This window comes from Homo sapiens, chromosome 15 (genome assembly GCF_000001405.40).
Source record: "Homo sapiens chromosome 15, GRCh38.p14 Primary Assembly".
NCBI lineage: Eukaryota > Metazoa > Chordata > Mammalia > Primates > Hominidae > Homo > Homo sapiens.
This window is the reverse complement of record NC_000015.10, coordinates 70,828,787-70,855,796: the sequence shown is the minus strand read 5'-3', so window position 1 is coordinate 70,855,796 and position 27,010 is coordinate 70,828,787. Positions and strand designations below refer to the sequence as shown.

The window sequence follows — 27,010 nt, the reverse complement described above, 5'->3', positions numbered from 1 at the left end:
GGCTGTGAGCTGTTCTGGTGCAGAAACAGCAATAGCACCAAAGGTCTCTCTCTCTTCCTTTACTTACTTATTTTAGGACCTCTTCTATCAAAACAGAGGTCCGACAAAGAAAGGGACACAGATTCTAGTGTCCTTAAGAAGAGGGGCTGTCCTCGCTGGGCCCCTGGGTCTCTCCCCAGCCCTGCCCAGACACCCAGGACCCTATACATGGTGTTCTTTTACAAGGACACTGCCCTCCAGGAGACCTCATTTCCTAAGCCTATCCTAACTTGTCTTTCTATATCAAAACAAATGTATTGGTCCAGGGTTCTGTTGTTTTGGGGTCCCAGTGTGGCAAATTAATATGATAAATTATGTTTAAGGCTCTAAATAAAGTGCTACATGAAAGCAGATTCAGGTCTTATTCATTTCTTTTTCTTCTTTCCTTCTTTCTTTTTTTTTCTTTTTCTTTTTTTTTTTTTTGAGACGGAGTCTCGCTCTGTTGCCCAGGCTGGAGTGCAGTGGCACAATCTCGGCTCACCACAACCTCTGCTTCCCAGGTTCAAGTGATTCTCCTGCCTCAGCCTCCCGAGTAGCTGGGATTACAGGCACGTGCCACCACGTCCAGCTAATTTTTGTATTTTTTTTAGTAAAGACAGGGTTTCACCATGTTGGCCAGGATGGTCTCGATCTCTTGACCTCGTGATCCGCCCGCCTGGGCCTCCCAAAGTGCTGAGATTACAGGCTTGAGCCACTGCGCCCGGCCGGTCTTATTCATTTCTATGCTCCTGTCCCTAGTTTCTGGGTCACATTTGGAGAGGTGAGATGGAACTCAATTTGAAGTTACACGTGAAAAGGTGGCAGTGTTTTAGAACATCCTGACATTTCAATAGCTCCCTTTATTCATTCAACAAACATCTGAGTGCATACTATGTGCAGGGCATACTCTATAGGCCATCGGCTTTCGAACTTTTGTGAACTTCAGCATCACCTAGAGGCCTTGTTAAAACACAAAGTTCTGAATCATAGATTCTGATTCAGGAGGTCTGGATGAGCCCTGAGAATTCAATTTCTAACAAGTTCCCCGGTGCAGCTGATGCTCCTGGTCTGGGAACCACACTTGGAGAAAAACTGATACAGGGCAAGGCAGGAGCCAAGCCCCTGACCTCCTAAGACGCGGTCTAGGGTGGTTATTATGTCAAGGAGACTAACGATGGAAATTTTCTGATCTTGGCAGGCCAGTGGGGGAGACACGCAGGAGGCCTGGAAGCCCCTGGAGCTGTGGTCTCTGGCTGCCACCCCCGGAGTCAAGCACAAACAGAAGTCAGCTGTGCTGCGCCCATCCCTGCGGCGCCGTGAAAGAAGGCGCAGGAGGAGGGAGCCCTGACACCTCCTCTCGGGCTGGGGCCCCACAGCGGCGAAAAGACGGAGGGAGTGATCGGGGGTCGCGGGGATCCTTCCGGGACGGGCCTCCGTCGGAGGAGCTCCGGAAAGCCGCCCTCCACCTCCGAGGCCCCGCCTGCGCGGGCGCTCCACTAGCGGTCGGGGTGGTGGCGGCGGCGGCGGCGGCGGCGGCGGCGCGGGGCGGGGCGCCGCGACCCCTGTCCCTCCCCTGGGCCGAGCGGCAGGCGCGCTCGCACCGCCCCCGCCCCCTCGTCGCAGTCGCTGCCGACCGGCTGGCTGGGCCTTGCGGCGTGAGGACCCCGGCGGCGCCGCAGTCCCGCGAGCCATGGCCCAGTCCGGCGGGGAGGCTCGGCCCGGGCCCAAGACGGCGGTGCAGATCCGCGTCGCCATCCAGGAGGCCGAGGACGTGGACGAGTTGGAGGACGAGGAGGAGGGGGCGGAGACTCGGGGCGCCGGGGACCCGGCCCGGTACCTCAGCCCCGGCTGGGGCAGCGCGAGCGAGGAGGAGCCGAGCCGCGGGCACAGGTAGGCGCGGCGGCTGGCCCGGGAGGTGGGCCCCGAGGGGGCGCCGGGCCGCGCGCGAGTTCGGGGCGCTGACTGCGCGCGACAACTCCTCGGGCAGAGGGGGTTGAGTCAGCCCCGCCGCCGGGGAAGCAGCTCCGGGCCGAGCCCCTGAGTCAGAACCGGCCCGTGGAGGCAGCCGGTGCCCCAGCCCGCAGCTTCGTCGCCCAACCGAGGCTCCCAGGGCTGGCGGCCGGGATCTGAGGGGCCTGGACGTGGGGATGTTCAGGGATCCAGGAGGAGGACTTTCACGGGCCATCCAAGCCACCCCCTCCTCTGGAGGAGGCCTCTTCTCTGTGGGCTCCCTCAAGACACCACCTCCCCATCGCCGCAAAGTCCATCCCTACCCGCCTTCCCCTCCCCTTGCGAGTGGTCCCGCTTACCCTTCACTGCCATCATCGCCCTGCCTTTCCCAGTCCTGCTGGCTGCGCTCAGTCTTTAGGTGGTAGCAGGCCAGGTACAGCGGACACTTGCTGATGGGGGATTCCAGGAGGTGGGATTTCAAGGTAATTTGAGACGGATAGAGGACTTGCTGCTTTACTTCCTCCGCCCTGGGGGATTCCCATTTTCACACAGCCTTTCCCACCAGACCTTTATGTTTGCATCATCTTGCTGCCTTGCGGGGGGCGGGGGGGGGGTGTTCCTGGGTTTTGGGTAGTTTGGAGCTGCTATGGCACTTGTTTAACCTTGTCCCGGGTCCCGAGCTTTGTCCTCAGGCACCTTGGCTCCTGTCCACTAATGCCCAGGCCCTTAAGGACTGGTGTTTTGTTCCTGCTGTTGAAAGGAGATAAAACATAGACATAGACATGAGAGTGGGGAAATGACAGAACTTGCACATTCTGGTGGATGCCAACAGGCACTTATTAGGAGCTCTCTTTCTTCTAGGACCCTGTCCCAGGCGTTTAGCTGTTAAGGTTCTGCAGGATTGTCCTGGCAAGCGTATATCTACTTCACTGGGAGAATACTCAACTCAAGGGTGGAAGAATACTGGGCCCAGAGCCATTCTCTATTACTGGCTCACCCTTCCCCAGGTTAAAGGGTCAGACTTCTGGACCCAGAGATTCGGGGCAGACCAGTAGAGACAGTTGTTAGGGGAGAAAAGTCAGCCCACCAGGGTAGGGCAGGAAAGCTGGACCATAGTGTATGACAAAGTAGATAGATCAGTGCTTTATAATGCAAGGCCTGATTCGTTTAGCTCTGTGCCAAGTACCGAGAGCATAAAAATGATGAACCCTTAGTCACTGACAGCTCACAGTCTCGAGAAGGCAGTCCCCTAGTCAGACAATATCAGAGTATGTAAAATAGCCCCAAGTGGTTTATCCTTATAACTTTATTTTCCTGTGGCAGTGGCAAATAGCCATCCCTATCCTGAGGGCTAAATTTGTGAGATTGTATCATTAGCCAGGATTAAAGCTCTACTTATGTTTAAGGCCTGGAAAGATCCCCTATGGAGGTCTAGGAGAAACCAAGCCTCAGTATGGGTAGGCCTCTTGCCTGAACCCCTCTTGCTCTTCCTCCAGAACTGCCCAGCTCCCGTGGCTTGAGTCTCAGCAAGTGTTCAGTCTGAAGCCCTTCCTGCTGCCCACTGGCATAGAGTTGACCCCAGAAAATCCCTGGGGTTCTTCGGTGAGCTGACAGAGCCCAGTGGGCAGGCACCCAGAGCAGGAGGAGATGTAGCCAAGAACAGGATCCACACTATCCCCTGTTTGGACCCAGGCTCGCATGGCAGCAGCCATCACCCGATGTGAATGTTCTCAGCTCCTGGAGCCTACAGGAGAAAACCCAGATTCCTCAATCTGCTCATTAAGATGTGACACCCACTCACATCATCTCCTCAGCCCATTGCCTCAACAGTTCACGCTGTCAACAGTTCACGCTCCCGTGATTCCAGCTAGTTCCCTGAGCATAGGGGGCTATTTTGTGTCTACATGCCTCTGCACCCCCACCTCTAGGTCCTCTGATTGACTGATTTCTAGTCAGCCTTTAAAACTTCGCTGCCTCTTCTCCACCACCCCCAATCCCCACCCCAGAGCTGGCTGTGTTTCCTTTCTTCTCTGTTGCTGTAGTACTCTGTACATTTTATGCCTAGCACCTTCCACAATTGTGATTCTATCATTGTGTCTCCCTCACAGGAATAGGAGCTCGGTGAATTCAAGGACCATGCTTGCTTCGTTCATTGTATCTTCAGCACCTAGCACAGCACCCAGCACATAGGACATGTTTGTTGACTGAATGCGTATCTCTATCATCACACTCACTCAATGGTGTTGAGATATTTGTGTTTCCCCTTCCCTAGACAGTGAGATCCTTGAAGGCAGCTGCCTTATCTTATTCCTTTTTGTATTTCCATACCTAGCCTAATACCTAGCTTATATAAGGGAACAGAATAAATGAACAATAAAGAAAAGTCTTTACAGCCTCTAAAATGTTATTGATCATCTCCCCACATCTCCTTCATTAAAAAGATGCCTTTCCTTTTATTCTCACCTTTTTAACATAAAAATTTTCAAACATAAAGAAAATATGAAAAAATAGTACTATGAGCATTCATATACCCATCATCTAGATTTAACACAACATTTTGCCATATTTGGTGAATGGATATACAATGTATGTGTTTTCCCCGAACCATTTGAGGTATGTTTTACACAAGATTATACCTTAAATACTTCATTTTGTAACTCCTAATGACATTCCCTATAAAGCCCTAACACTATTATTGCAACTGAGAAAATTAACTATCATTCCCTAATATAATCCTGAAGATAAGCTAATAGCCAAGTTCCACATTCAAGATTCCCCAAATTGTGCCACAATTGTCTTTTACAGCTGTTTCTTTTTTCCCCTCAAACCAGAATATGGTCTGGGTTGAGGCATTTGCTTCTTATGTCTCTAGACTCTATTAATCTAGAAATTTCCACCATTTTTTTTCCCTAATGCTTTGCTATTTTGGACAGAAGAGGTCAGACATCTTGTTGAATGTCTCACATTTTGGATTAGTCTGGTAATGTTCTCATGATCTTATTTTACTTGCTCCTTTGTACCATGTGCTTCTTATAAACTGAAAGATAGGGCTAAGGTTTTGATTTGATTCTGTTTAAACCTTTTGTCAAGAATGCCTCATACTCTGTGCCTGGAACTTGATGTTCCATCACTTCAGGAGCCATCCCACCCTTAGTGATGCTAAATTTGACCATTCGATTAAGGAGATTTCTCCATCGTACAGGTTGTCTTTCCCTTTGCAGTTAACAAGTTATTTGTGGGCTTCTCATCCTGGGTTCTGTTGATGTATCACACTTATTGATTTGCATATGTAGATCCATGCATGCATCCCAGGGATAAATCTCACTTGATCTTGGTGAATGATCCTTTCAAGATGCTGTCGAATTCAGTTTGCTAATATTTTGCTGAGGATTTTTGCATCTATGTTCATCAGGGATATTGGCCCATAGTTTTCCTTGTTTGGCTTTAGTATCAGGGTTATGCTGGCCTTGTGAAATGAGTTTGGAAGCATTCCCTCCTCTTCAAAGTTTTAGAAGAGTTTGAGAAGTATTGGTATTAGTTGTTCTTTAAATGTTTAGTAGAATTCAGCAATGAAGCCATCAGGCCTTGAGCTTTTCTTTGATAGGAGATTTTTGATTCCTGATTCAATCTCCTTACTTGTTATTGGTCTGTTCAGATTTTCTGTCTCTTCATAATTCAGTCTTGGTAGGTTTCATGTTTCTAGGAATGTATGCATTTCTTCCAAGTTTTCCATTCCTCTTGCAATATTCTTTCCCCAATGACTTTTCACCTAATTATTTTAGCATCTATTGATGATCCTTACCTAAGTTGGTTATTTCACTGGGGACTGGAAATTGAGGATTTTCTAATTTTCACATTTTTTGTACACTTATTAGCCAGCATTGCTCTATTTTTTTTTAAAAAAAGCTTTGTCTCATCATCTGGATTGAACAAAAGTTTCTCCTAAAGAGGCAAAAAAATGCTTAATTATTTCCCTTTAATTACAGTTTTCAAAGAGATAATTTGATATAATAGTCACACTAAATAATTTAAATGAGGGCTCTTCCTCAAGCTTATACTCTTCCTCTCTCTCCAATTCATAGATTTGTATTTATTCACTTTTTAATAATTCATCACAGTCATTTTTGGTGCTCAAAATGTCTATATTGCAGCCAGCAGACCCCCTTGAAGCTGGCCTCCTTGTGTCTTTTTGTAACATGCCCATTAGTCTTTAAGCACTTCTTTGCTTTCTGGTACTAGTATTCCAGGCATAATTTGTACTTTTCCTACTCCAGTCATGGAATTCAGCCATTTCCACAGTAATCTCTGCTTTTTTCAAATACCAGTAAGAAAGTATTTAGAAACTAAGACCTGGAATTAGGAAAGCTAACTTCTGCCAGGGTATTGTTGCTTTCAGAGCCTTTCAGTGGACAGAACTAAGAAATATATATATATTTTTTTGTTTGTTTGTTTGTTTGTTTGTTTTGTTTTTGAGACAGGGTCTTGCTCTTGTCGCCCAGGCTGGAGTGCAATGACCTGATCTTGGCTCACTGCAACCTCCACCTCCCAGGTTCAAGCGATTCTCCTGCTTCAGCCTCCTGAGTAGCTGGGATTACAGGCGCCTGCCACTATGCCCAGCTAATTTTTGTATTTTTAATAGAGACGGGATTTCACCATGTTGGCCAGGCTGGTCTCAAACTCCTGACCTCGTGATCCACCTGCCTTGGCCTCCCAAAGTGCTGGGATTACAGGCGTCAGCCACCATGCCCGGCCAAGAAATATGTTTTTTAAAAAACACTTATATCAATAATTCCAATTCAAATTTACATTACAGGATTTTTGCTGTTTACTTCTTTTATTTATTATACTGAAAATCTTGGTTCCTAATAACATTAACATAATTACTTATTTTCTTTGTATTACAATGTGTAAAAATGATTCAAAGTTATAATATTAAATATTAATATGAACAATAAAAACCATTGAGCCACCTGCTTTTAATTTAACAACACAATCTTCTAGGTTTCTCTTTTTTTCCATGATGTTTTTGGGACATTGTACAGGCTGTCTTTTCCCTGCTTTGGATGGTGATAATGAAAGCCTCTACTTTTTTTTTTTGAGACAGAGTCCTGCTCTGTCACCCAGGGTGGAGGGCAGTGGCACCATCTTGGCTCACTGCAACCTCCGCCTCCCAGGTTCAAGTGATTCTTATGCCTCAGCCTCCCGAGTAGCTGGGATTGCAGGCACCTGCCACCATGCCCGGCTAATTTTTGTATTTTTAGTAGAGACAGGGTTTCACCATGTTGGCCAGGCTAGTCTCGAACTCCTGACCTCAAGTAATCTGGCCACCTTGGCCTCCCAAAGTGCTGGGATTACAGGCGTGAGCCACCACGCCTGGCCTCTGCTTTTTTATTAATGTCAATTTTTTTGTCAGATGTAGAACTAAGTGCCTGATATACGTAGTCTCTACTCCAAACTACGAATCATTATTTAGACCCATGGAGACATCCACTAGTTGTATATCCCTTTCCCAGGCTCAAAGGCTTATGCCAGAACAGCATGGCAGAAGACAGGGTCAGAGAGGAAGTTCATGTCTCTGTAATAAATATATAAGAACCCATGGGCCACGCAAGCATAACATGTGCCCCCTGCTAGCACCATCCAAAATATGGTTTGTAAAAGGGTGATGCCTTTAACAAAGTTGAGAACATACCTGTATATGTTTTCAATCTGTCTCAGTGAAAAATCCTTATCTTTTGAATCTGCCCTGGTGTTTTTATATTGCATTATCAATTTGCCCTTTTTGAACCATTTCACATTCATTATCTTGTTCTAGAGGTGAGTCAAAAGAAATCTCACACAGACAGGACCTGGACCCTAGTGTTTTTCATAAATGATGTTTTTGTGTTTGGTACCTTCCTTATTGGTGTCCACCATTTTCTTGGTCTTGGTGGTCAAAATACCATATTCCACCATCTGCAATGATAGACAATGAGTCTGAAAAATCATTCCTGGATTGAAAGCTGTAGTGAGGGTCTCATTATTCCACCATCTTAGTTTGGATATTCTCCTCCTATAGGGTATCATTCGATTAACTGCGCAATCAGTGTAACCAGATTCGATATTTTATGAAAAAAGTAGCCTTGGATGTTTTATGCTACAAATCCTTTTGTTTCTCTAAATCATTTACAAATATGACACACCTGTAATCCCAGCACTTTGGGAGGCCAAGGTGGGCAGATCACAAAGTTAGGAGTTTGAGACTAGCCTGGCCAATACGATGAAACACTGTCTCTACTAAAAAATACAAAAATTAGCCAGGCATGGTGGTGCGCACCTGTAGTCCCAGCTACTCAGGAGGCTGAGGCGGGAGAATCGCTTGAACCCAGGAGGCAGAGGTTGCAGTGAGCCAAGATAGTGCCACTGCACTCCAGCCTAGGCGATAGAGTGAGACAACATATTTAAAAAAAAAAAAAAATTCAGCACTGATTCATGGAACCCAATTACCTGTTTTAAAATGTACCCCTTTATTTCTACCCATTTCTCACAGGTTTATAGCTATAACAAAAGACCTCATCACTCCCAGTTTACAATGTTTTGTTAAAAAACAAAACAAAGCAAAACCTTAAGTGTAAAACTTTTTCAAGCCTCCTTGAAAGGCCACTAAGAGCATATTCATCAGAAACCATACTTCCTCCCTCAAAGGATCCTGATAGGTATGATTTGCCCTCAAAACTATTTGCTTTACATTGGTGATACTTTTTAAATTCCCATTACATGCAAGGCTCTGGGGTAATACTATAATGAAAGAAACCAGCTTGAGTTCTACTCTCAACTCAGTGTTCGGGCTGCTAATAAAATGTGCACACAAGTAGCTATAATACAAATATAGATAAGTGTTGGGAGAAGTAGAAATGATTTTTTCTTCCTAGGAGAATTGCATTTAAGATGGACCTTAATGTGTGACTAGAATTTAGACCCGAGAGAGAGGAGCAAGGCATTCAGAGACAGGAACAGCAAGCTCAAAGGCACAGAGTCCAGAAAGCTTGTGACACTTACAGATAACTATGTCTTTCTGTTTGTTTGGAGCAAAGGATCTGAAAGGAAACCGATGGAAATAAGTTTTGATGCTGGTTACAGCCAGATTCTAAATGAGTCTGAATAAGGAGCTGAAGACTTTGTTGGTTTTTTTTTTATTATGTATGTATGTATGTATGTATGTATGTATTTATTTATTTTTTGAGACAGGGTCTCACTCTGTCACTCAGGCTAGAGTGCAGTGGCGCAGTCATGGCTTACTGTAGCCTCGACCTCCTGGGCTCAAGCAATCCTCCCACCTCAGCCTCCCAAATAGCCTAGACTACAGGTGTGCACGGCCATACCTGGCTAATTTTTAAATTTTTTGTAGAGACAGGGTCTTGCTACGTTGCCCAAGCTAGTCTCGAACTCCTGGCCTCAAATGACCCTCCGGCCTTGGCCTCCCAAAGTGCTGGGATTACAGGCGTGAGCCACCGTGCCTGGTTGGGAGCCGAAGAGTTTGAATTTTATTTAACAGGAAATAGAAAAGCTTTTATTATTATTATTAAAGTAAATCAGTGACATCAAGTAAAGCAGTGACATACTCTAGCTGTTCTTCAAAACATGTAATATGGCACAGAGTGGAGGAGGCTGTAGCCTAAAATATAACATGGGAGGTGGCAGGAGGTGGGAAGACAGAACCCTAGAAAGACTCTGGTTGGGAAATATACCAAAGATGCAGGAGTAAAAAGGGCTACAAATATCTGAAAGGTAATTTAAATTCTTCCTTTAGAACAATTTCCTAGCCTTTCTGTCTGCCAGTGGAAAGTAGCAGGTATTTTATTTTTAAGGGGGAAAAAAAAGAGACAAGATTATTTTCTAAAGGAATTGAATGAGCTCACTACGGAGATCTAGGGATGCGAAAGCAGAGCTGGCAGCCGCAGAGTAAAGCCTTTGCCATTTGGGTAGAGCCCCCAGCTTAATCATTCCCTGCCTGCTCACCCTCATGTGAAGCCTGCCACTTGGCATGCCCCACCTGTGTACATAGAGCCATCTAGGAAGAAAACCAGTGGGAGTGTGCAACTGCAGAGGGAACCCATACAACCCACTAAGAAAAAGCAGCATGTACCTTTTGTCTTCACAGTGAATAGCTGTGGAGTATAACTCCCCACACCCTAAGTGTGGGCTGTGTACAGTGGCCTTCTTCCAAAGAGCACAGTATGGGAGTGGGGATAAAGGGAGTGGTTTTACAGGGGAGAAACCCGACAAACACTACCTCAGATAGGTGATCAAGGTTAGCATCCACAGTGATCATTCATGTTGATAGCATCTACCCTGATAGGATGTGCTGAGAATGGAAATTTACCTCTGTGGTCCTCCCGCCAAAAACCCATAATCCCAGTCTAATCATGACAGAGAACATCAGAAAAATCCCAGTTGAGGGACATTCCACAAAATACCTAACCAGTACTTCTTAACACTGTCAAGGTCATCAAAAACAAGGAAAACTGTCACAGCCAAGAGGAGCCTCAGGAGACATGACAGCTTAATGTGTTAATGTATTGTGGTGTCCTGGATGGGATCCTGGAACGGAAAAAGGGACAATAGGCAAAACTAAGGAAATCTGAATAAAATATGGACTTTAGGTAATAATAATATATAATGAACTAATGAACTAATTGTAATTAGTTCATTGGTTGTAACACATGTACCATACTAATGCAAGATATTTATAACAGAGCAAGCCTGGGTGTATATATATGGGAACTCTCTGTACAATTTTCACAACTTTTCTGTAAATCTAAAACTATTCTAAAATAAGTTTATTAAACCCTTTAATAAAGAAAAAATGAATTATTTCTTAGTCACTTGAAGAAAATCAGTGGCATGAAAGTTAAATGGAAGAACTGACCCCAAAGGATACAGAGGTGATGATGTTGAAACAAAAGACTCAAAAATGTATACTCCAACTAGCACCCTGAGAGTGAACTTAAGATACTGCATCCACAAAACAAGAGTAGGAAGCTCTTAGAAGGGAATTATCTAGGATCAAAAACAGTTCTTAGAAACTAAATAAATAACTACTAAAATTTAAAAATTCTGTAGGAAAGGTTAGAATATAATGTCAAAGAAATCTCTTAGTGTGTAAATTACAAAGACAAAGACAGAGCATATGAAAGAAAAAATAAACATAGAGGACCAATCCAGGTGGTCAGTCAACTAATAGGACTTTGAGACAAGAAATGTAATCTTAGCAAATGACTTAGCCCTGTAGGGAACAGTGTTTACATAGTCATAATAATAAAATACAACTGATTGACTTTCAACTTTCAGTATGTATCTATAGATAAAATATAGAATATTAGTTACCGAATGGAATGAAATATTATGAACCATGGCAAAATGAAATAAAAGTACATCTGATGCAATATGGAAGGTTGGAAATAGGTGAGATGGAAGAGAGAGTAGGACAATAGTGTGTATTAATATATCACGTAGCAAGGAATTGAAAAATACTTTTTAATGTTTATGGAATAAGAAACCACTTAAAGTATATTATTTTAAAACACAAATAGGGCCGGGCATGGTGGCTCACACCTGTAATCCCAGCACATTGGGAGGCTGAGGCAGGCAGATCACATGAGGTCAGGAGTTTGAGACCAGCCTGGCCAACATGGTGAAACTCTGTCTCTACTAAAAATACAAAAATTAGCTGGGTGGGGTGGTGTGTGCCTGTAGTCCCAGCTACTTGAGAGGTTGAGGTGGGAGAATTGCTTGAACCTGGGAGGCAGAGGTCGCAGTGAGCCGAGATCGCACCACTGCACTCCAGCCTGGGCGACAGAGTGAGACTGTCTTAAAAAAAAAAAAAGAAAAAAAGGTCGGGCGCGGTTGCTCACGCCTGTAATCCTAGCACTTTGGGAGGCCGAGGTGGGCAGATTGCCTGAGCTCAGGAGTTTGAGGCCAGCCTGGGCAACACGGTGAAACCCTGTCTCTACTAAAATACAAAAAATTAGCCGGGCGTGGCAGCGTGCGCCTGTAATCCCAGCTACTCAGGAGGCTGAGACAGAAGAATCATTTAAACCCAGGAGGCAGAGGTTGCAGTGAGCCAAGATCATGCCACTGCACTCCAGCCTGGGCGACAGAGTGAGACTCCGTCTCAAAAAAAAAAAAAAAAAAAAAAAAGACACCAAAACCATAAATAAAAGGCTAATAGAAGAACCAAAACTAAAAGAAAATTTGAAGAAGGGGTTATTTAGGGACATAAGTCATAAGTGACCCCAAATACTCATTTTATGTAGTAAGACATGAATAGAGAATGACTACGGTTGGCAAGTGAGAAATAGAGCTATAAGCATATTTTATAGAGCTATGAGATAACTCTCCTAAGAATTAAATGGCTGAAGAGAAGTTACCTCTAGGGAGGAAAGGTGGAATGGGGAATTGTTGATTTCTTTATAAGTTCCCTACTATTTTATTCTAGTTTTTGCTATGTTTATCTATTACTTTAATTTTTTGGAAAAATGTTTTGATGAGCTATTAATAAGTATCCAAGGGAGAAATAATGAGGATGGTTGGAATGGCAAAGAGAGAACAGATGGGAGACCCTGCAAAATGAAATAAGCACTTTATAATTGACTAAATGTGGGGGCAAAAGAGAGAGTGAAAGGACACATCCTAGGTCTTGAGCTTAAGTACATAGAAGAGTGAATAGGGAAAGTAGTTGGGGGGTGGGTTGGAAGGGAAGATAAATGATTGTCACAGGATGGTTGTAATCGGCAATAAGTTGACAATATTCAGGTTTAAAGGATATAAAATTAATATTCATAAAAGATATGGTATCTTTTCCCATTTGAAGGCTATTTCACAAACAGGAAACAATGCAGCCTGCTCCTGGATATAACATAGGCTTTTCAACTCCCCCAAGATCCCCCTTTGGAGATGCATAGTTGCTGCTGACAGCACTCATGCAGAGGGTGGAGTCCTCCAAGCACAAGAAGCTCACCTCTGCACTCGTATAGGGGTTTATATCACCTCCACAGTATCATCCACCTGTTCTGGAATCTCTGGCTATCTGCCTGTCTGCTCAGTGGGTGCAAATAATTGATGCAGAGTCACCCCCAATACATTATGGATAGTCTACTGTGAGACTGTGTGAAAGGAAGGTCAGCTTCCCAGATAGAATGCCTATTGATGGGCCCAGGCTTCAGTCCTGCCTGAGGTCAGGTTCTGCAGAAGGTGAGAAGTTAGATTGTGGACATATTTAATCTGATGCTACATCAGATTGTCCTAGTGGAAATGTCTGGCATGCAGTTAGGAATTGAGGACTGCAGCTCAGGAAGGAGAGGAAGGTGTGGGGCGGTGGACAGGCTGGGGGGTAGATTTGAATTTGATGAGCTTATAGGAGCTGAAGTGTAGAGGTTGCTAGGGGATAAAGTGTCAGGGATAGATTATTGGGTAACACCTACACTTAGAAATGAGGAGAGAGGCCAGGCATGGTGGCTCATACCTGTAATCCCAACAGTTTGGGAGGCTGACGTGGGTGGATCACTTGAGCCCAGGGTTTCAAGACCAGTCTGAGCAACAAGGCAAAACCCCATCTCTACAAAAAAAACAGAAAAATTAGCCAGGCATGATGGCACATTCCTATAGCCCCAGCTACTTGGGAGGCTGAGATGGGAGGATTGCTTGAGCTTGGGAGGCTGAGGCTGCAGTGAGCTGTGTTCATGCCACTGCATTCCAACTTGAGGCAACAGAGCAAGATCCAGTCTCAAAAAGAGAAAAGAAAAGAAATGGAGAGAGAAAGAGGAGACATAAAATGGGGAGAAGAATCAGAAAAGAGTAAGTCACATAAGCCCAGGGGGGAGAGTATCAAGAAGAAGGTGGTCAATAGTGTCAGATCCTGCATCAGGGGCAAGAAGACTGTGTGAGGCCATTCTTGCATTGCTGTAAAGAAATATCTGAGACTGGGTAATTTATAAGAAAAGAGGCTTGATTGGCTCTTGGCTCTGCAGGCTGTATAGGAAGCATGGCACTAGCATCCACTTCTGGGGAGGCCTCAGGAAGCTTACAATTGTGGTGGAAGGTGAAGGGAGAACAGACACATCACATCACAGAAACAGGAGCAAGAGAGAGAGTTGGTGATGGTGGGGGTGGGAGGGAGTACCACATACTTTTAAATGACCAGGTCTTATGAGAACTCACTATCAAGAGGGCAGCACCAAGGGAGTGGTGCTATACCATTCATGAGAAACGACCCCATGATTCAATCACCTCCCACCAGGCCCCACCTCCAACACTGGGGATTACAATTCAACGTGAGATCTGCCTAAGACATACATTCAAACTATATCAAGGACCAAGATGGAGAAGAGACACCTGGATATGGCTACAAGTTCTTTGATGGATGTCTAGAGACACAGAACAAGCTGGAGCGAAGGTTAGGAAAAGGGAGAAGGAGTTGCCCAACGGAGGTCTAGAGAAGCTTGATTGGATGAACTCTATCCTCTCCATCCAGTCTGAGATAGAATCATCTGCAGGCAGTAAAGCAGACATGGCCGACCTTGGGAAGATTGGGAAGCTCTGGAATAAGCATTAGAGAGATTGAGAAATTATACTGCCCGGCCGGGCGCGGTGGCTCACGCCTGTAATCCCAGCACTTTGGGAGGCCGAGGTGGGCGGATCACGAGGTCAGGAGATCGAGACCATCTTGGCTAACACGGTGAAACCCTGTATCTACTAAAAATACAAAAAATTAGCCGGGCGCGGTGGCGGGCGCCTGTAATCCCAGCTACTCGGGAGGCTGAGGCAGGAGAATGGCATGAACCCAGGAGGCGGAGCTTGCAGTGAGCCGAGACAGTGCCACTGCAGACCAGCCTGGGCGAAAGAGCGAGACTCTGTCTCTTAAAAAAAAAAAAAAAAAGAGAGAAAAGAGAAATTATACTGCCTTCCTTCTATTATGCTTTATTTGTTTATGAGTTTACCTTTTGTAATAGCATCTATTGCTCTAGTTTGGGAGTAGGACTAACTTGTCCTGGGAGTAGGACCCCACAGGGGTCCCTTTCGTAGTGCAGTCACTTCTGAGATACTAGCTATTTGTAGTAAGTTAGACCATTTGCCAATACCCCTGAGTCTGCTCAAAACTCTTCACCGGCCATTAGCACACACCCGGCCCCATCCCCTGTGATTTACTGACATCTTTGTTAGCTGGGCCGGGAATTCCCTTTGCATTTGTAGTTATTTTGTCTGTTATATCCAACCCATCTGTTTTTTGTTTGTTTGTTTGTTTTTGTTTGAGACGGAGTTTCGCTCTTGTCACCCAGGCTGGAGTGCAGTGGCGCGATCCCGGCTCACTGCAACCTCCGCCCGCCGGGTTCAAGCGATTCTCTTGCCTCAGCCTCCTGAGTAGCTGGGATTACAGGCTACCACCACCACACCCAGCTAATTTTTATATTTTTGGTAGAGATGGGGTTTCACCATGTTGGCCAGGCTGGTCTCAAACTCCTAACCTCAAGTGATCCCCCTGCCTCAGCCTCCCAAAGTGCTGGGATTACAGGCGTGAGCCACCGCGCCCGGCCTCAACCCATCTGTTTTAACTACTATTTAGGCGATAAACTTTCCCTAATAAAGTGAAATTTGTTCTGTCCATCTTGCATCTCCTTTTTCATCCTATTGGTTGTCCCACTGATGTTTTCCCTTCGGCATGTTTTGAGGACCTCTTTTCTCCATGTAGTGTTGCTGCGGTTACTATTGTATTTGGCTGTTTAAGTAACAGAAAACCCAACAAGTGAATTAAACAAATAGGATTTGATCTTTCTCATGTAATAATAAAAAATCTGCAGGTAGATAGTTATAAGAGCTGGCCCAACAACTCAATCATGTCAGGGCCAATAATGCCAACAAATCAGGCCAAGCCAATTCTCTTGGCCTTTTCCTTATGGTAGTAAAATGGCTGCTGCAGATTCAACCATCACATCCACATTCAAAGCAGACAAAAGGGGAAGGGACAGGGCCAAGAGATTTTCACTTAAGTGTTAGTGGCCATAACATTAAGTTTTTATAGCCTCTAGAGTAAAGACGGCAATTAAAGCCGGGCGTGGTGGTGGGCGCCTGTAGTCCCATCTACTCGGGAGGCTGAGGCAGGAGAATGGCGTGAACCCGGGAGGCAGAGCTTGCAGTGAGCTGAGATTGCGCCACTGCACTCCAGCCTGGGCGACAGAGCGAGACTCTGTCTCAAAAAAAACAAAAGGAAAGGCAATTGAGAAAGTGTTTGTTATTGGATGTTGGGTGAGTCAGCTTAATGTCTGACTTTTATCATCCCATTTTAACAAGACTTAAAAAACTTTAAAATTGAGTCTCCCTATTATTTTCTTCACTATACATTTTTTTTTTTTTTTTGAGACAGTCTCACTCTGTCACCCAGACTGGAGGGCAGTGGTGCGATCTCCGCTCACTGTAACCTCCACCTCCCAAGTTCAAGGGATTCTCCTGCCTCAGCCTTCCAAGTAGCTGGGATTACAGGCATGTGCCACCACACCCGGCTAATTTTTTGTATTTTTAGTAGAGATGGGGTTTCACCATGTTGGCCAGGCTGGTCTCGATCTTCTGACATCAAGTCGTCCGCCCACCTCAGCCTCCCAAAGTGCTGGGTTATAGGTGTGAGCCACCGTGCCAGGCTTCTTCACTCTACATTTACCTTGAGACATCAGTAAGGTATTTTAAAAAGCCATTCCAGGCTGCCTACAGGCAAATAGCTAAAACTCTTTATTTTTAATCAACCAATGCCTATATTTTATACTAATTATAATTTCTGAATTTGAAAAATTTTTAAATAGATTTATTTGCTTTTTTCTCTCTTGCCAGAATATTTTTTCCCTCATTTTGAGTATTCCACAGTTGCTTCTTTTCTTTTTTTTTTTTTTTGTGAGGCTGAGAGCCAGTGAAAATTTTGTTGAAGGACATATATGTATGTGTCTTTTCCAGCTTTAAGCGATCACAGTAATAGGCCTTGTTAAGATTACTGGTCCTGACATTGAGTTGCTAAACCAACTCTTATAACTACCTACCTGCAACTTTCTGCTAACTTCTAATAATGGCATCCGTTATGATGCGGATAATCAGTATTCTCTAAATGTTTATTGGTTTGAAATTGTTATAATCCCCTTATGAAAGATTAGCCCTCCTAAGGAAGCTCTGTCCAGGATTGCTTTGGCTTGTTCTCATCACCTAATGATCTTAGGGAGAGGGAGAGGAGGAAGTCTACCCAGGTGGTGCTGCTGGTGATAGTGGGCTTTATTAAGAAGAGACCCCGTGATGGGATTGTTTCCAGAGTCCATTACAGGGTCCTAGCAAAACATATAAGGTATTATGTATACTGGCTTTGGAGACAGAGGATTTGAGTTTAAATCCTAGATCTGCCTCTTATGAATTAGCGAAGGAATTTGTCTGTGCCTACTGAGCTTTAACGGTACGCTAGGCACTCCTCTGGATATTTTCATGTATTAATTCATTGAATTGTCACAACACTCACATGAGGGTAGGGACTATCATGATTCCCAATTTACAGGTAATAGAACTGAAGTGAGATGCAGTGGAGTTCCTTGCCTAAATTTACTTAACTAATAAACAATGGTACAGGTTGAACATCCTTAATCAAAAAATTCAAAATCTGAAATGCTCTAAAATCAGAAACATTTTGAGCGCCACCATGACACTACAGATTTAACATGGGTTAAAAACTGAGATAGCGACACCTTTGCTTTCTGATGGTTCAGAAACTTTGTTTCATGCACAAAATTATTAAAAATATTGCATGAGATTACCCCAGGTTATCTGTATAAGGTGTATATGAAACATAAATGAATTTGCGTTTAGACTCGGGTCCCATCCTTGAGATATCTCATTACGTATATGCACATATTCCAAAATCTGGAAAAATTGGAAATCTGAAACACTTCTGGTCCCAGGCATTTTGGATAAGGGATACTCAGTCTGAACCAAGCATTTGGACCCAGGCAATCTTAACTCTAAAGCCAGGACTCCTAGAGCTGGCAGCCCTAGGAAATTACACTCCCATCTGTAATTCCAGCACTTTGGGAGGCCAAGGCAGATGGCTTGAGAGTCAGTGATCATGTATCCACATGGAGATTGCACCACTGCAGTGACTCCTGAGAGGCAGTGGTCATGTATCCACATGGAGATCGCACCACTGCACTCCAGATCTTGTCCTGAACCAGCTAAGAAATCAAGCTTTTATTCTTTAATAAATATGGATGATCTTACCGAAAGGTCAAGTAACTCTGCTATACTGTCTTCTAGAAACCAGGATTTGAGGGGATGGAGTAGAGAAGGAAGAATAAGAGAGTATATGTGAAAAGCATTTTGCCCGTGGCAGAGCGCCACATATATGTCAGCAGAGGGTGTTATTATAATAATTATTATTATTATTATTTTGAGACAGGGTCTCACTGTGTCTCCCAGTCTGGGGTACAGTGGTGCAATCTTGGCTCACTGTGACCTAGACCTCCCGGGTTCAAGCTCTCCTCCCACCTCAGCCTCCCAAGTAGCTGGGACTATTGGCATGCACCACCACACCTGGCTAATTTTTGTTGTTGTTGTTGTTGTTTTGTAGCAACAGGGGTCCCACTCTGTTGCCCAGGCTGGTCTCAAATTCCTGGGCTCAGGCCACCTACCTCAGCCTCCCAAAGTGCTGGTATTACAGATGGGAGCCACGATGCCTGGCCAGTTATTATTTTTATGATCCTCCATGCTTGTTAAAAATGAAAGATTGACTTCTTAGCTGTTTGGGGGCAAACCTCTCCTTCTGTGGCCATGTGACCCAGTGTCAATTCCTAGGGCTGCTGTAACAAAATACCATGAGCTGGATGGTTTAGAACAACAGAAATATATTGTTTTATGGTTCTGGAGGCCTGAAGCCCGAAATCAAGGTGTGAATAGGGCCATGCGCCCTCTGAAAGTACTAGAAATGGATCCATTCTAAGCATCTTTCCTCGCTTCTGGTGGCAGTCTTTGGCATTCCTTGAGTTTTGCTACATCACCCCAGTCTCTCCCTTCGCCTTCACATGATGTTCTCTCTGTGTGCATGTCTGTGTTCAAATTTACCCCTTTGGTAAGGACCCTAGTTGTGTTGGATTAGGGGGTCCACCCTACTCCAGTAAGACCTCATCTTAATTAATTGCATCTGCAGTGACCCCCATTTCCAAATAACATCATACTCCAAGGTATTGGGGGTCAGGACTTCAGCATATGAATTTTTGGGGGACACAGTTCAACGTTGACCCTAACACCCGGTGTCTCCTTCTGGTCTCAGTGGCACCACTGCAAGTGGAGGTGAGAACGAGCGTGAGGACCTGGAGCAGGAGTGGAAGCCCCCGGATGAGGAGTTGATCAAGAAACTGGTGGATCAGATCGAATTCTACTTTTCTGATGAAAACCTGGAGAAGGACGCCTTTTTGCTAAAACACGTGAGGAGGAACAAGCTGGGATATGTGAGCGTTAAGCTACTCACATCCTTCAAAAAGGTGAGGCTTGGTTCTCAGAAGCTGCTTCAAGGATTTCAAGTTTGTTTTGGGTTGTGGTTTTAAACATTTTTTTTAACTCCCTTGAAACCTGATGACGAACAATTTTTAAAATTAAGTCTGTGCCTGAAAAAGAGAAAAATGGCTAGGAGAAGGGATTTAGTATTGTTAGGAATATACTCCCACACTATTAAAAGGGTCCTGGGCATTGGGACAAATCTCAGCTGGCAGCAGTTATGAAACAATGTTACTTGTTCTTAGTAAAGTTCAGGCACTTTTGCCAGGCAAGTGGGTGGCCAGGAGGATGTGATACCAGGACAGACGGACTCGAAGGCCTTGAGAGATACCTGCCAGGCCTAAAATTATATGAAATTCAAGCTTTTCATTTGTCAAGTTGAATAAGCAAAGGGAGAGAATGAGCACCCAGAACTCTCAGAAATGAGCCTTCTCTAAGACACACATGCTCTGCCTGTGTGACGCCATCATCCTTATCTATACAATAGGGAGATGAGATTTGTAATTATTGCTGCCATCTGGGCAGCAGACTGCTTGTCCCTGCCATATATAGATCCAGTGTTTGGGCTGTGTACTGTCTACTTCTCAGAGAGTTGACAGACTAGTTGGAGTAAGAACTCTGTGTCTCCCTTAGGGGAAGTGCATTTACTAGAATGGAAAAGCACTACGCGGCCTGTTGCATAACGGGATGCGTAACAAGTGGGTCCCGGCCAAGTTGTCTGTGTACTTTGTCAGAGTGCACTGGAGGAGAGCTTTTCTCCTTGGACCTCTTCCCTGCCTCACCCACTGGTGTACTCTGCCTGGCCCTGTCGCTCTTTTTCCTTTATTCATTCATCAAATATGCTCATTGTCTCTGCTGAGTGCTGTGCTAGGCGCAGGATGTACAGAGTGAAGATCGTACTCCCCCTGTCCTTGACAAGCTCACAGTCCAATAAAGGAGAGAGATCTGAAAGATTACAATGTGACCACATATAGTAGGACAAAAGAGAGAACACAGTATTATTGGGAACTAGTTGATCAGAGCAACTAACCCTGCCTGGAGAACTGAGAAGTCTTCCCAGAGAAGGTGACATTGAAATAGGATTTTGGAGGATGAGTAGGAGTTTTCTAGGTACAGGGGAATGGAAGGGATATTTTAATGGTCAGAGAACAGTGAGCAAACCTTCATATGAAAAGTGTTTGTGGGGGATCCCAAAATGAAGCAGCCAGTGGAATCATCCAGCACGTCTCTTTATTCCTCCCCAGGGACCCCAAGAGTCAGCCTGTTTTGCTTTCCTCTTTAAGCTGCCACTTATGGTCCTATTTAGGAATGTTCTTCTCTGTTGAAACCTGGCTGCAGAGTACAGACAGACTCCCTAACACCTCCAAAATCAGAGCAAAGATCCTTTTCATTCTGAAGGATTTCCTATTAATCACAAAAGGGGAACATACATGACAAAGGTAAAAAGCACAGGGAAACCTTAGAGTTCTTCTAGCAATTGCACAAGGATGAACGCTCCCTGGTCCCTTTTCTCAGGTGCTACCTGGACCTTCCTTATGAATGGTCATGGACCCAGGCTTAGGATGCTCAGACTGTAACCGAGATTTCCCAGTGGACCTTGCTTCTGGCTCAGGAGGGATATTCAGTCCTAGCCAGAGCCTGCTTCTCTTGCAGTGAGATGTGGTCCCCCACAGACTTCTGTAGCCCTCTGAGTAAGGCAGTGCTGTGCTTTCCCAGGTGCTCCTAGCTCAAGCTTCAGGCTTAGGAAATTGTCTCTTTTTATCTCCCAAGTGCTCCCTCCCTAGCTGTTTTCGGAGAAGGCTTCACCATGTTTCACCCCACAGTGAGCCACTGCCTGGCTTTCCCACAGCCTCACACGCACCCGCAGTCATCAGCTTCACCCTTTCTGGATTCCTCATGGACTCTGTCCACCTGAAATCCGACCCTTTGCCTGGGCCTGCTTCTCTGTGCCCTTGGACCCGTGTTCTTCTAGTAGCCTAAGTCTGAGCCATTTCTCCCAGAGACCACAGGCTACAGTGGACAGTGCTCTCTCTCTAGGAGCCTGTGTATAGTAATGGGTCTGCCAAGGTTTCCCCATCTTGCCCAGTGAGTGAGCCTTTCCTTCTTGAGTTTCATGAAGTTCCTGTTTTATGCTCAGAGGCACCTGGAGTTCCCAGTTCTTTTGCAGAGCAGCTTGTTGGCCTGTTCTCAGAGGACTCAGGGGGATCTCGCCATTACGGGCTCAGGTTACCCACCCCACCCACCTTCACTATTTGTTTGGGATGACTCATTCCCCCTGGCATTCCCTTCACCGGAAGTGGGCCTCTAGAAAATTACTGTTTTACAGTATAAATATAGCTTCCATATACTGCAACATTGATACAATTTCCACCAACAAAGGAGGAGGGAGGGATTATTTCACCATTCTTAGTGAGGCCCAAGTTGGATTTAATTTCAAGTTGAAGTAGTCCATGTCATTCTCAGGAGATATTGCAGTGAAATGCGAAAGATCTTTTGGAAACTTCTCTGTATCAAATGCAGAAATGCAGAAATACTGCTTTAGAGAAGCATTTGAATGTTAAAATCTCCAAATCCTATCAAAATAATAGCATGTAATATTGGAAGTAATGATAGCACATGATTACTTAGTACTCACTGTGAGCTAGACACTATTCTGTTTTATGTGTAAATGAGTTTGTATGTGTCTGTACATACATATGTACATGTATATATTGATTCGTTTAATCCTCAGGACAGCTCTTTGAGATGGCACTATTAACATCTCCATTTTCCAGGGCAAGTCGAGGCACTAAGAGGTTGAATAACTTTCCAAGTCTTACTTCAAGCTAGAGGTGGGCCTTTGATTTGTGTATACAGCAGCCTTGTTCCAGAGCCTGCAAATTTAACCTCTAAACTTGCACAGAATGGAATATTTCCATTTTCATGGACAGTTCTGTTGGACAACACTGCTGTGGTGCCCTTGTTTGAAATGGTAGAACTTGTTTTCATTCACTTATTCATTCACTAGATTTTTGAGTGTTTACACATACCACGTATGATTCTAGACACTAGAATACAGGGATTCTAGTGTTACAGGGATAAGGAAGTGAGGGAGGGAGCTTATAGCATACACAAGGATGGACAAGGACATTAGATACTATTTCAGATTTGCTTTATGTTCTGCAGGTGAAACATCTTACACGGGACTGGAGAACCACAGCACATGCTTTGAAGTATTCAGTGGTCCTTGAGTTGAATGAGGACCACCGGAAGGTGAGGAGGACCACCCCCGTCCCACTGTTCCCCAACGAGAACCTCCCCAGCAAGATGCTCCTGGTCTATGATCTCTACTTGTCTCCTAAGCTGTGGGCTCTGGCCACCCCCCAGAAGAATGGAAGGGTGCAAGAGAAGGTGATGGAACACCTGCTCAAGCTTTTTGGGACTTTTGGAGTCATCTCATCAGTGCGGATCCTCAAACCTGGGAGAGAGCTGCCCCCTGACATCCGGAGGATCAGCAGCCGCTACAGCCAAGTGGGGACCCAGGAGTGCGCCATCGTGGAGTTCGAGGAGGTGGAAGCAGCCATCAAAGCCCATGAGTTCATGATCACAGAATCTCAGGGCAAAGAGAACATGAAAGCTGTCCTGATTGGTATGAAGCCACCCAAAAAGAAACCTGCCAAAGACAAAAATCATGACGAGGAGCCCACTGCGAGCATCCACCTGAACAAGTCCCTGAACAAGAGAGTCGAGGAGCTTCAGTACATGGGTGATGAGTCTTCTGCCAACAGCTCCTCTGACCCCGAGAGCAACCCCACATCCCCTATGGCGGGCCGACGGCACGCGGCCACCAACAAGCTCAGCCCGTCTGGCCACCAGAATCTCTTTCTGAGTCCAAATGCCTCCCCGTGCACAAGTCCTTGGAGCAGCCCCTTGGCCCAACGCAAAGGCGTTTCCAGAAAGTCCCCACTGGCGGAGGAAGGTAGACTGAACTGCAGCACCAGCCCTGAGATCTTCCGCAAGTGTATGGATTATTCCTCTGACAGCAGCGTCACTCCCTCTGGCAGCCCCTGGGTCCGGAGGCGTCGCCAAGCCGAGATGGGGACCCAGGAGAAAAGCCCCGGTACGAGTCCCCTGCTCTCCCGGAAGATGCAGACTGCAGATGGGCTACCCGTAGGGGTGCTGAGGTTGCCCAGGGGTCCTGACAACACCAGAGGATTTCATGGCCATGAGAGGAGCAGGGCCTGTGTATAAATACCTTCTATTTTTAATACAAGCTCCACTGAAAACCACCTTCGTTTTCAAGGTTCTGACAAACACCTGGCATGACAGAATGGAATTCGTTCCCCTTTGAGAGATTTTTTATTCATGTAGACCTCTTAATTTATCTATCTGTAATATACATAAATCGGTACGCCATGGTTTGAAGACCACCTTCTAGTTCAGGACTCCTGTTCTTCCCAGCATGGCCACTATTTTGATGATGGCTGATGTGTGTGAGTGTGATGGCCCTGAAGGGCTGTAGGACGGAGGTTCCCTGGGGGAAGTCTGTTCTTTGGTATGGAATTTTTCTCTCTTCTTTGGTATGGAATTTTTCCCTTCAGTGACTGAGCTGTCCTCGATAGGCCATGCAAGGGCTTCCTGAGAGTTCAGGAAAGTTCTCTTGTGCAACAGCAAGTAGCTAAGCCTATAGCATGGTGTCTTGTAGGACCAAATCGATGTTACCTGTCAAGTAAATAAATAATAAAACACCCAACTGGGAGTGCTGACTTTGAGGTTATAGATTGTGCCTGACAAAAGTCTGTGCCTGTCTGACAGAGCTGTGGGTGGTATGTCATGAGGCCCTGAGGAGCTTAGCAGAGACATCTTTCTTTTCTTTAAGAGAACATTTAAAAATTTTTTTATTTGTACACATTTATGGGCTACATGAGAAACTTTGTTACATGTTTATAATGCATAGTGATCAAGTCAGGGCATTTAGGGTTTCTCACTGTACCCCAGGGCAGCCCCAGGGCTCTCCTTGGGCTTCTGGCAGCCTGAGTGGTGTCTCATCACAGGGAATTTTACTGAGCAAAGGCAGCTTGGCGTATACTGAGGGTGTACAGTCCAGGACCCACAGCATTGATCTCACCTGGGAACTTATTAGAAATCCAGATTCTCAGGCCAACCCTAGGCCCACTGAATTAGAAAGTCTGGGAGAAAGGCCTGGAATTTGGGTTTTAACAAACGCTGCAGGTGATTCTGATGCACGCTGGAGAACCACTGGATGGACAAAGGCTGCAGGACTTGAGGTCAGTCCATTTGACCCCCAATCTCTCACTATTTTGTGACCTTGGGAAGGTTACTAAGCCCCGTGAACCTCATCATCTCCCTGTGAATTGCTTTGTTACGATGTCCATGTCTGGAATGCAGCTGGCCCTCCATAAATGTTAGCTCTCTTTCCTTCTCACTTGGGTTAATGTTTGTTATCATCAGGAGCTGCCTTGGTGTAGCAGAAAGAGCATTGGCCTAGATTCCAGTGTTGGCTTATGCTCTGGCTATTTGGCAGGATTTAATAGAGCTTGTTAATAATTATTGAACAGTGATTAGGTGCCAGGGACTATGCTAAGAGCTTTCCATGCATTATCTCATTTAATCTGCCCAAAAACTACAAGAGAAATGTTCAGGTATTATCTCTATTTTATTCCAGAAAAAAACAGACTTTACTTGGGTAATTAACTTGTCTAAGGCTTAACAGCTAAATTGGTAGAGTTGGGCTTGAAACTAGTGGTCTGGCTTTGGAGCCCACACTGTTTAACCACTAAGTGGTACTCAACATTTCTGATCTTTACTATCCATATTCAAAAAAGAATCCACCATAAAAGGTGCTAATATTTATTCAGCACCTTCCTACGTGCTAGGCATTGGGTTAGACACATTTCACTTACTCTCAGTGTCCATCATAAGGAATTATTATGCCAGTATCACACATGCAGCTGCTGAAGTAGGAAAATAATATCCCAAACTTGTGAAAATGGACAAAGATAGTATATCCTAAATGATATGGCTCTATACAAATTAGCAGGTGATTGTGATCTGGATAGTAAGATGCTTTGTCCCTTAAGATGCAGAAGAGTTCGTGTTAACTGGCAAATGCCTCCAGCAATGTTCTGGATTTGCCATTTCCAGCACTACCAGCTGTAGGTAGCCTGAAGGCTTGTGCCTAGACCACCAGGACTCCTGACCTTGGGCAATGTCAGGGCCCCCTCCAGCCCCGCCCTATGCTTCCCTCCCTGACTCTGCTCCCATCACCCCCTGCCTGCTCCTTCCCTGCAGCCACTCCACCTGCTCCTTGGCCATCGGGCCATCTGGGCTTCACCAGCTCTTCTTGGCCTGTGACATTCAAGGCTGTTCCACCCTATTATGCCTGTTACACAAGTCACAGCTCTATTTTTAGATTAACCCTCGTGGATCATAGTTACTTTTAAAAATACCTACACCCTCACCTTTACATGTGAATACAGATGAACTTGGCCTTCCTTTGGTCGTATTGCCCTGTGTGACATTATAAAAGAACCCTGAAGTGGGGGTCAGCAGATCTGAGGTCGAGTCGTGGCTTTTCTACTAAGCAACTGTGACCTTCAGCAAGTCATTTATTTTATTGGTTCACAGTTCTTCCCACAAACCAGTGGATAACAAGAAGATGTTCCTTAAATAAGGTCATATATGTGCAAGTGCTTTCTGAATGGAAAAGTGCTTTGCAGGCATTAGTCACTACTTATCCTGCTGTCTGATCATCACCTCCAAAGGCAAGCCTCCTTTTGCTGCAATTCTTAACCCTGGCCTCACATTAGAGTCACCTAAAGAGCTTTTAAAAACTGCCTATGGGGCTGGGCACGGTGGCTCACGCCTGTAATCCCAGCACTTCAGGAGACTGAGGCGGGCAGATCATGAGGTCAGGAGATTGAGACTATCCTGGCTAATGTGGTAAAACCCTGTCTCTACTAAAAATACAAAAAAATTAGCCGGGCATGGTGGCACGCACCTGTAATCCCAGCTACTTGGGAGGCGGAGGCAGGAGAATTGCTTGAACCTGGGAGGCGGAGGTTGCAGTGAGCCGAGATCACGCCGCTGCATTCCAGCCTGGGCAACAGAATGAGACTCCATCTCAAAAAAATAAAAATAAAAATAAACAAACCTGCCTATGGGCCAGGCATGGTGGCTCATGCCTGTAATCCCAGCACTTTAGAGTTGCTTGAGGCCAGGAGTTTGAGACCAGCCTAGGCCACATAGCAAGACTGTGGCTCTACAAAGATAAAAAATTAGCTGGGCAGGGCGATGTTCGCCTGTAGTCCCAGCTGCTAGGGAGACTGGGGTGAGAGACTTGCTTGAGCCCAGGAGGTCAAGGCTGCAGTGAGCCAAGATCATGCCACTGCACCCAGGCTGGGTGACAGAGTGAGACCCTGTCTCAAACAAAACAAAAGAAAACAACCAACTACCTCTGGCCATCCCTGAGATATTCTGATTTAATTGGTTCTGG

At 45.3% G+C, this 27,010-nt stretch overlaps 2 protein-coding genes across 4 annotated transcripts in view, besides 1 other annotated feature; one reads left to right on the top strand and one right to left on the bottom strand.

Moving 5' to 3' along the window:
• LRRC49 (leucine rich repeat containing 49) overlaps window positions 1-2,419 on the bottom strand; it is a 200,281-nt gene extending 197,862 nt beyond the window's left edge. The window contains exon 1 of the mRNA NM_001284357.2: window positions 2,328-2,419. The gene's annotated coding sequence lies outside the window, so the exon portion shown is untranslated. The remainder of the gene's footprint in view (window positions 1-2,327) is intronic.
• On the top strand, window positions 1,640-26,667 carry LARP6 (La ribonucleoprotein 6, translational regulator). Of its 3 annotated transcripts, none has more exons than NM_018357.4 (3): window positions 1,640-1,908; window positions 19,292-19,502; window positions 22,681-26,667. In NM_018357.4, the coding sequence occupies exons 1-3, from the start codon at window positions 1,709-1,711 to the stop codon at window positions 23,743-23,745; spliced, it is 1,476 nt and encodes a 491-aa protein (NP_060827.2). In that variant the 5' UTR covers window positions 1,640-1,708; the 3' UTR covers window positions 23,746-26,667. The 3 variants fall into 3 exon arrangements, with proteins under 3 accessions (NP_060827.2, NP_932062.1, NP_001273608.1); NM_001286679.2 differs by lacking the exon at window positions 1,640-1,908 and adding an exon at window positions 1,979-2,450; NM_197958.3 differs by lacking the exons at window positions 19,292-19,502; window positions 22,681-26,667 and adding an exon at window positions 4,077-4,351.
• Window positions 1,750-2,251: an enhancer, noted in NCBI's record as "H3K27ac hESC enhancer chr15:71145885-71146386 (GRCh37/hg19 assembly coordinates)". NCBI's record gives its function as "activates a minimal SCP1, AML or CMV promoter by ChIP-STARR-seq in primed H9 embryonic stem cells {active_cell/tissue: H9 hESC(primed)}" and the evidence as "EXISTENCE:reporter gene assay evidence [ECO:0000049][PMID:30033119]".
• Window positions 26,668-27,010: the final 343 nt, after the last annotated feature.

Excerpts from the sequence above, each read along its gene's own strand:
- LARP6 (NM_018357.4), top strand. The coding sequence starts at position 1,709 with ATGGCCCAGTCCGGCGGGGAGGCTCGGCCCGGGCCCAAGACGGCGGTG. Across the intron at positions 1,909-19,291 it reads GAGCCGAGCCGCGGGCACAG|TGGCACCACTGCAAGTGGAG; the intron begins GTAGGCGCGGCG and ends TTCTGGTCTCAG. Across the intron at positions 19,503-22,680 it reads TACTCACATCCTTCAAAAAG|GTGAAACATCTTACACGGGA; the intron begins GTGAGGCTTGGT and ends TATGTTCTGCAG.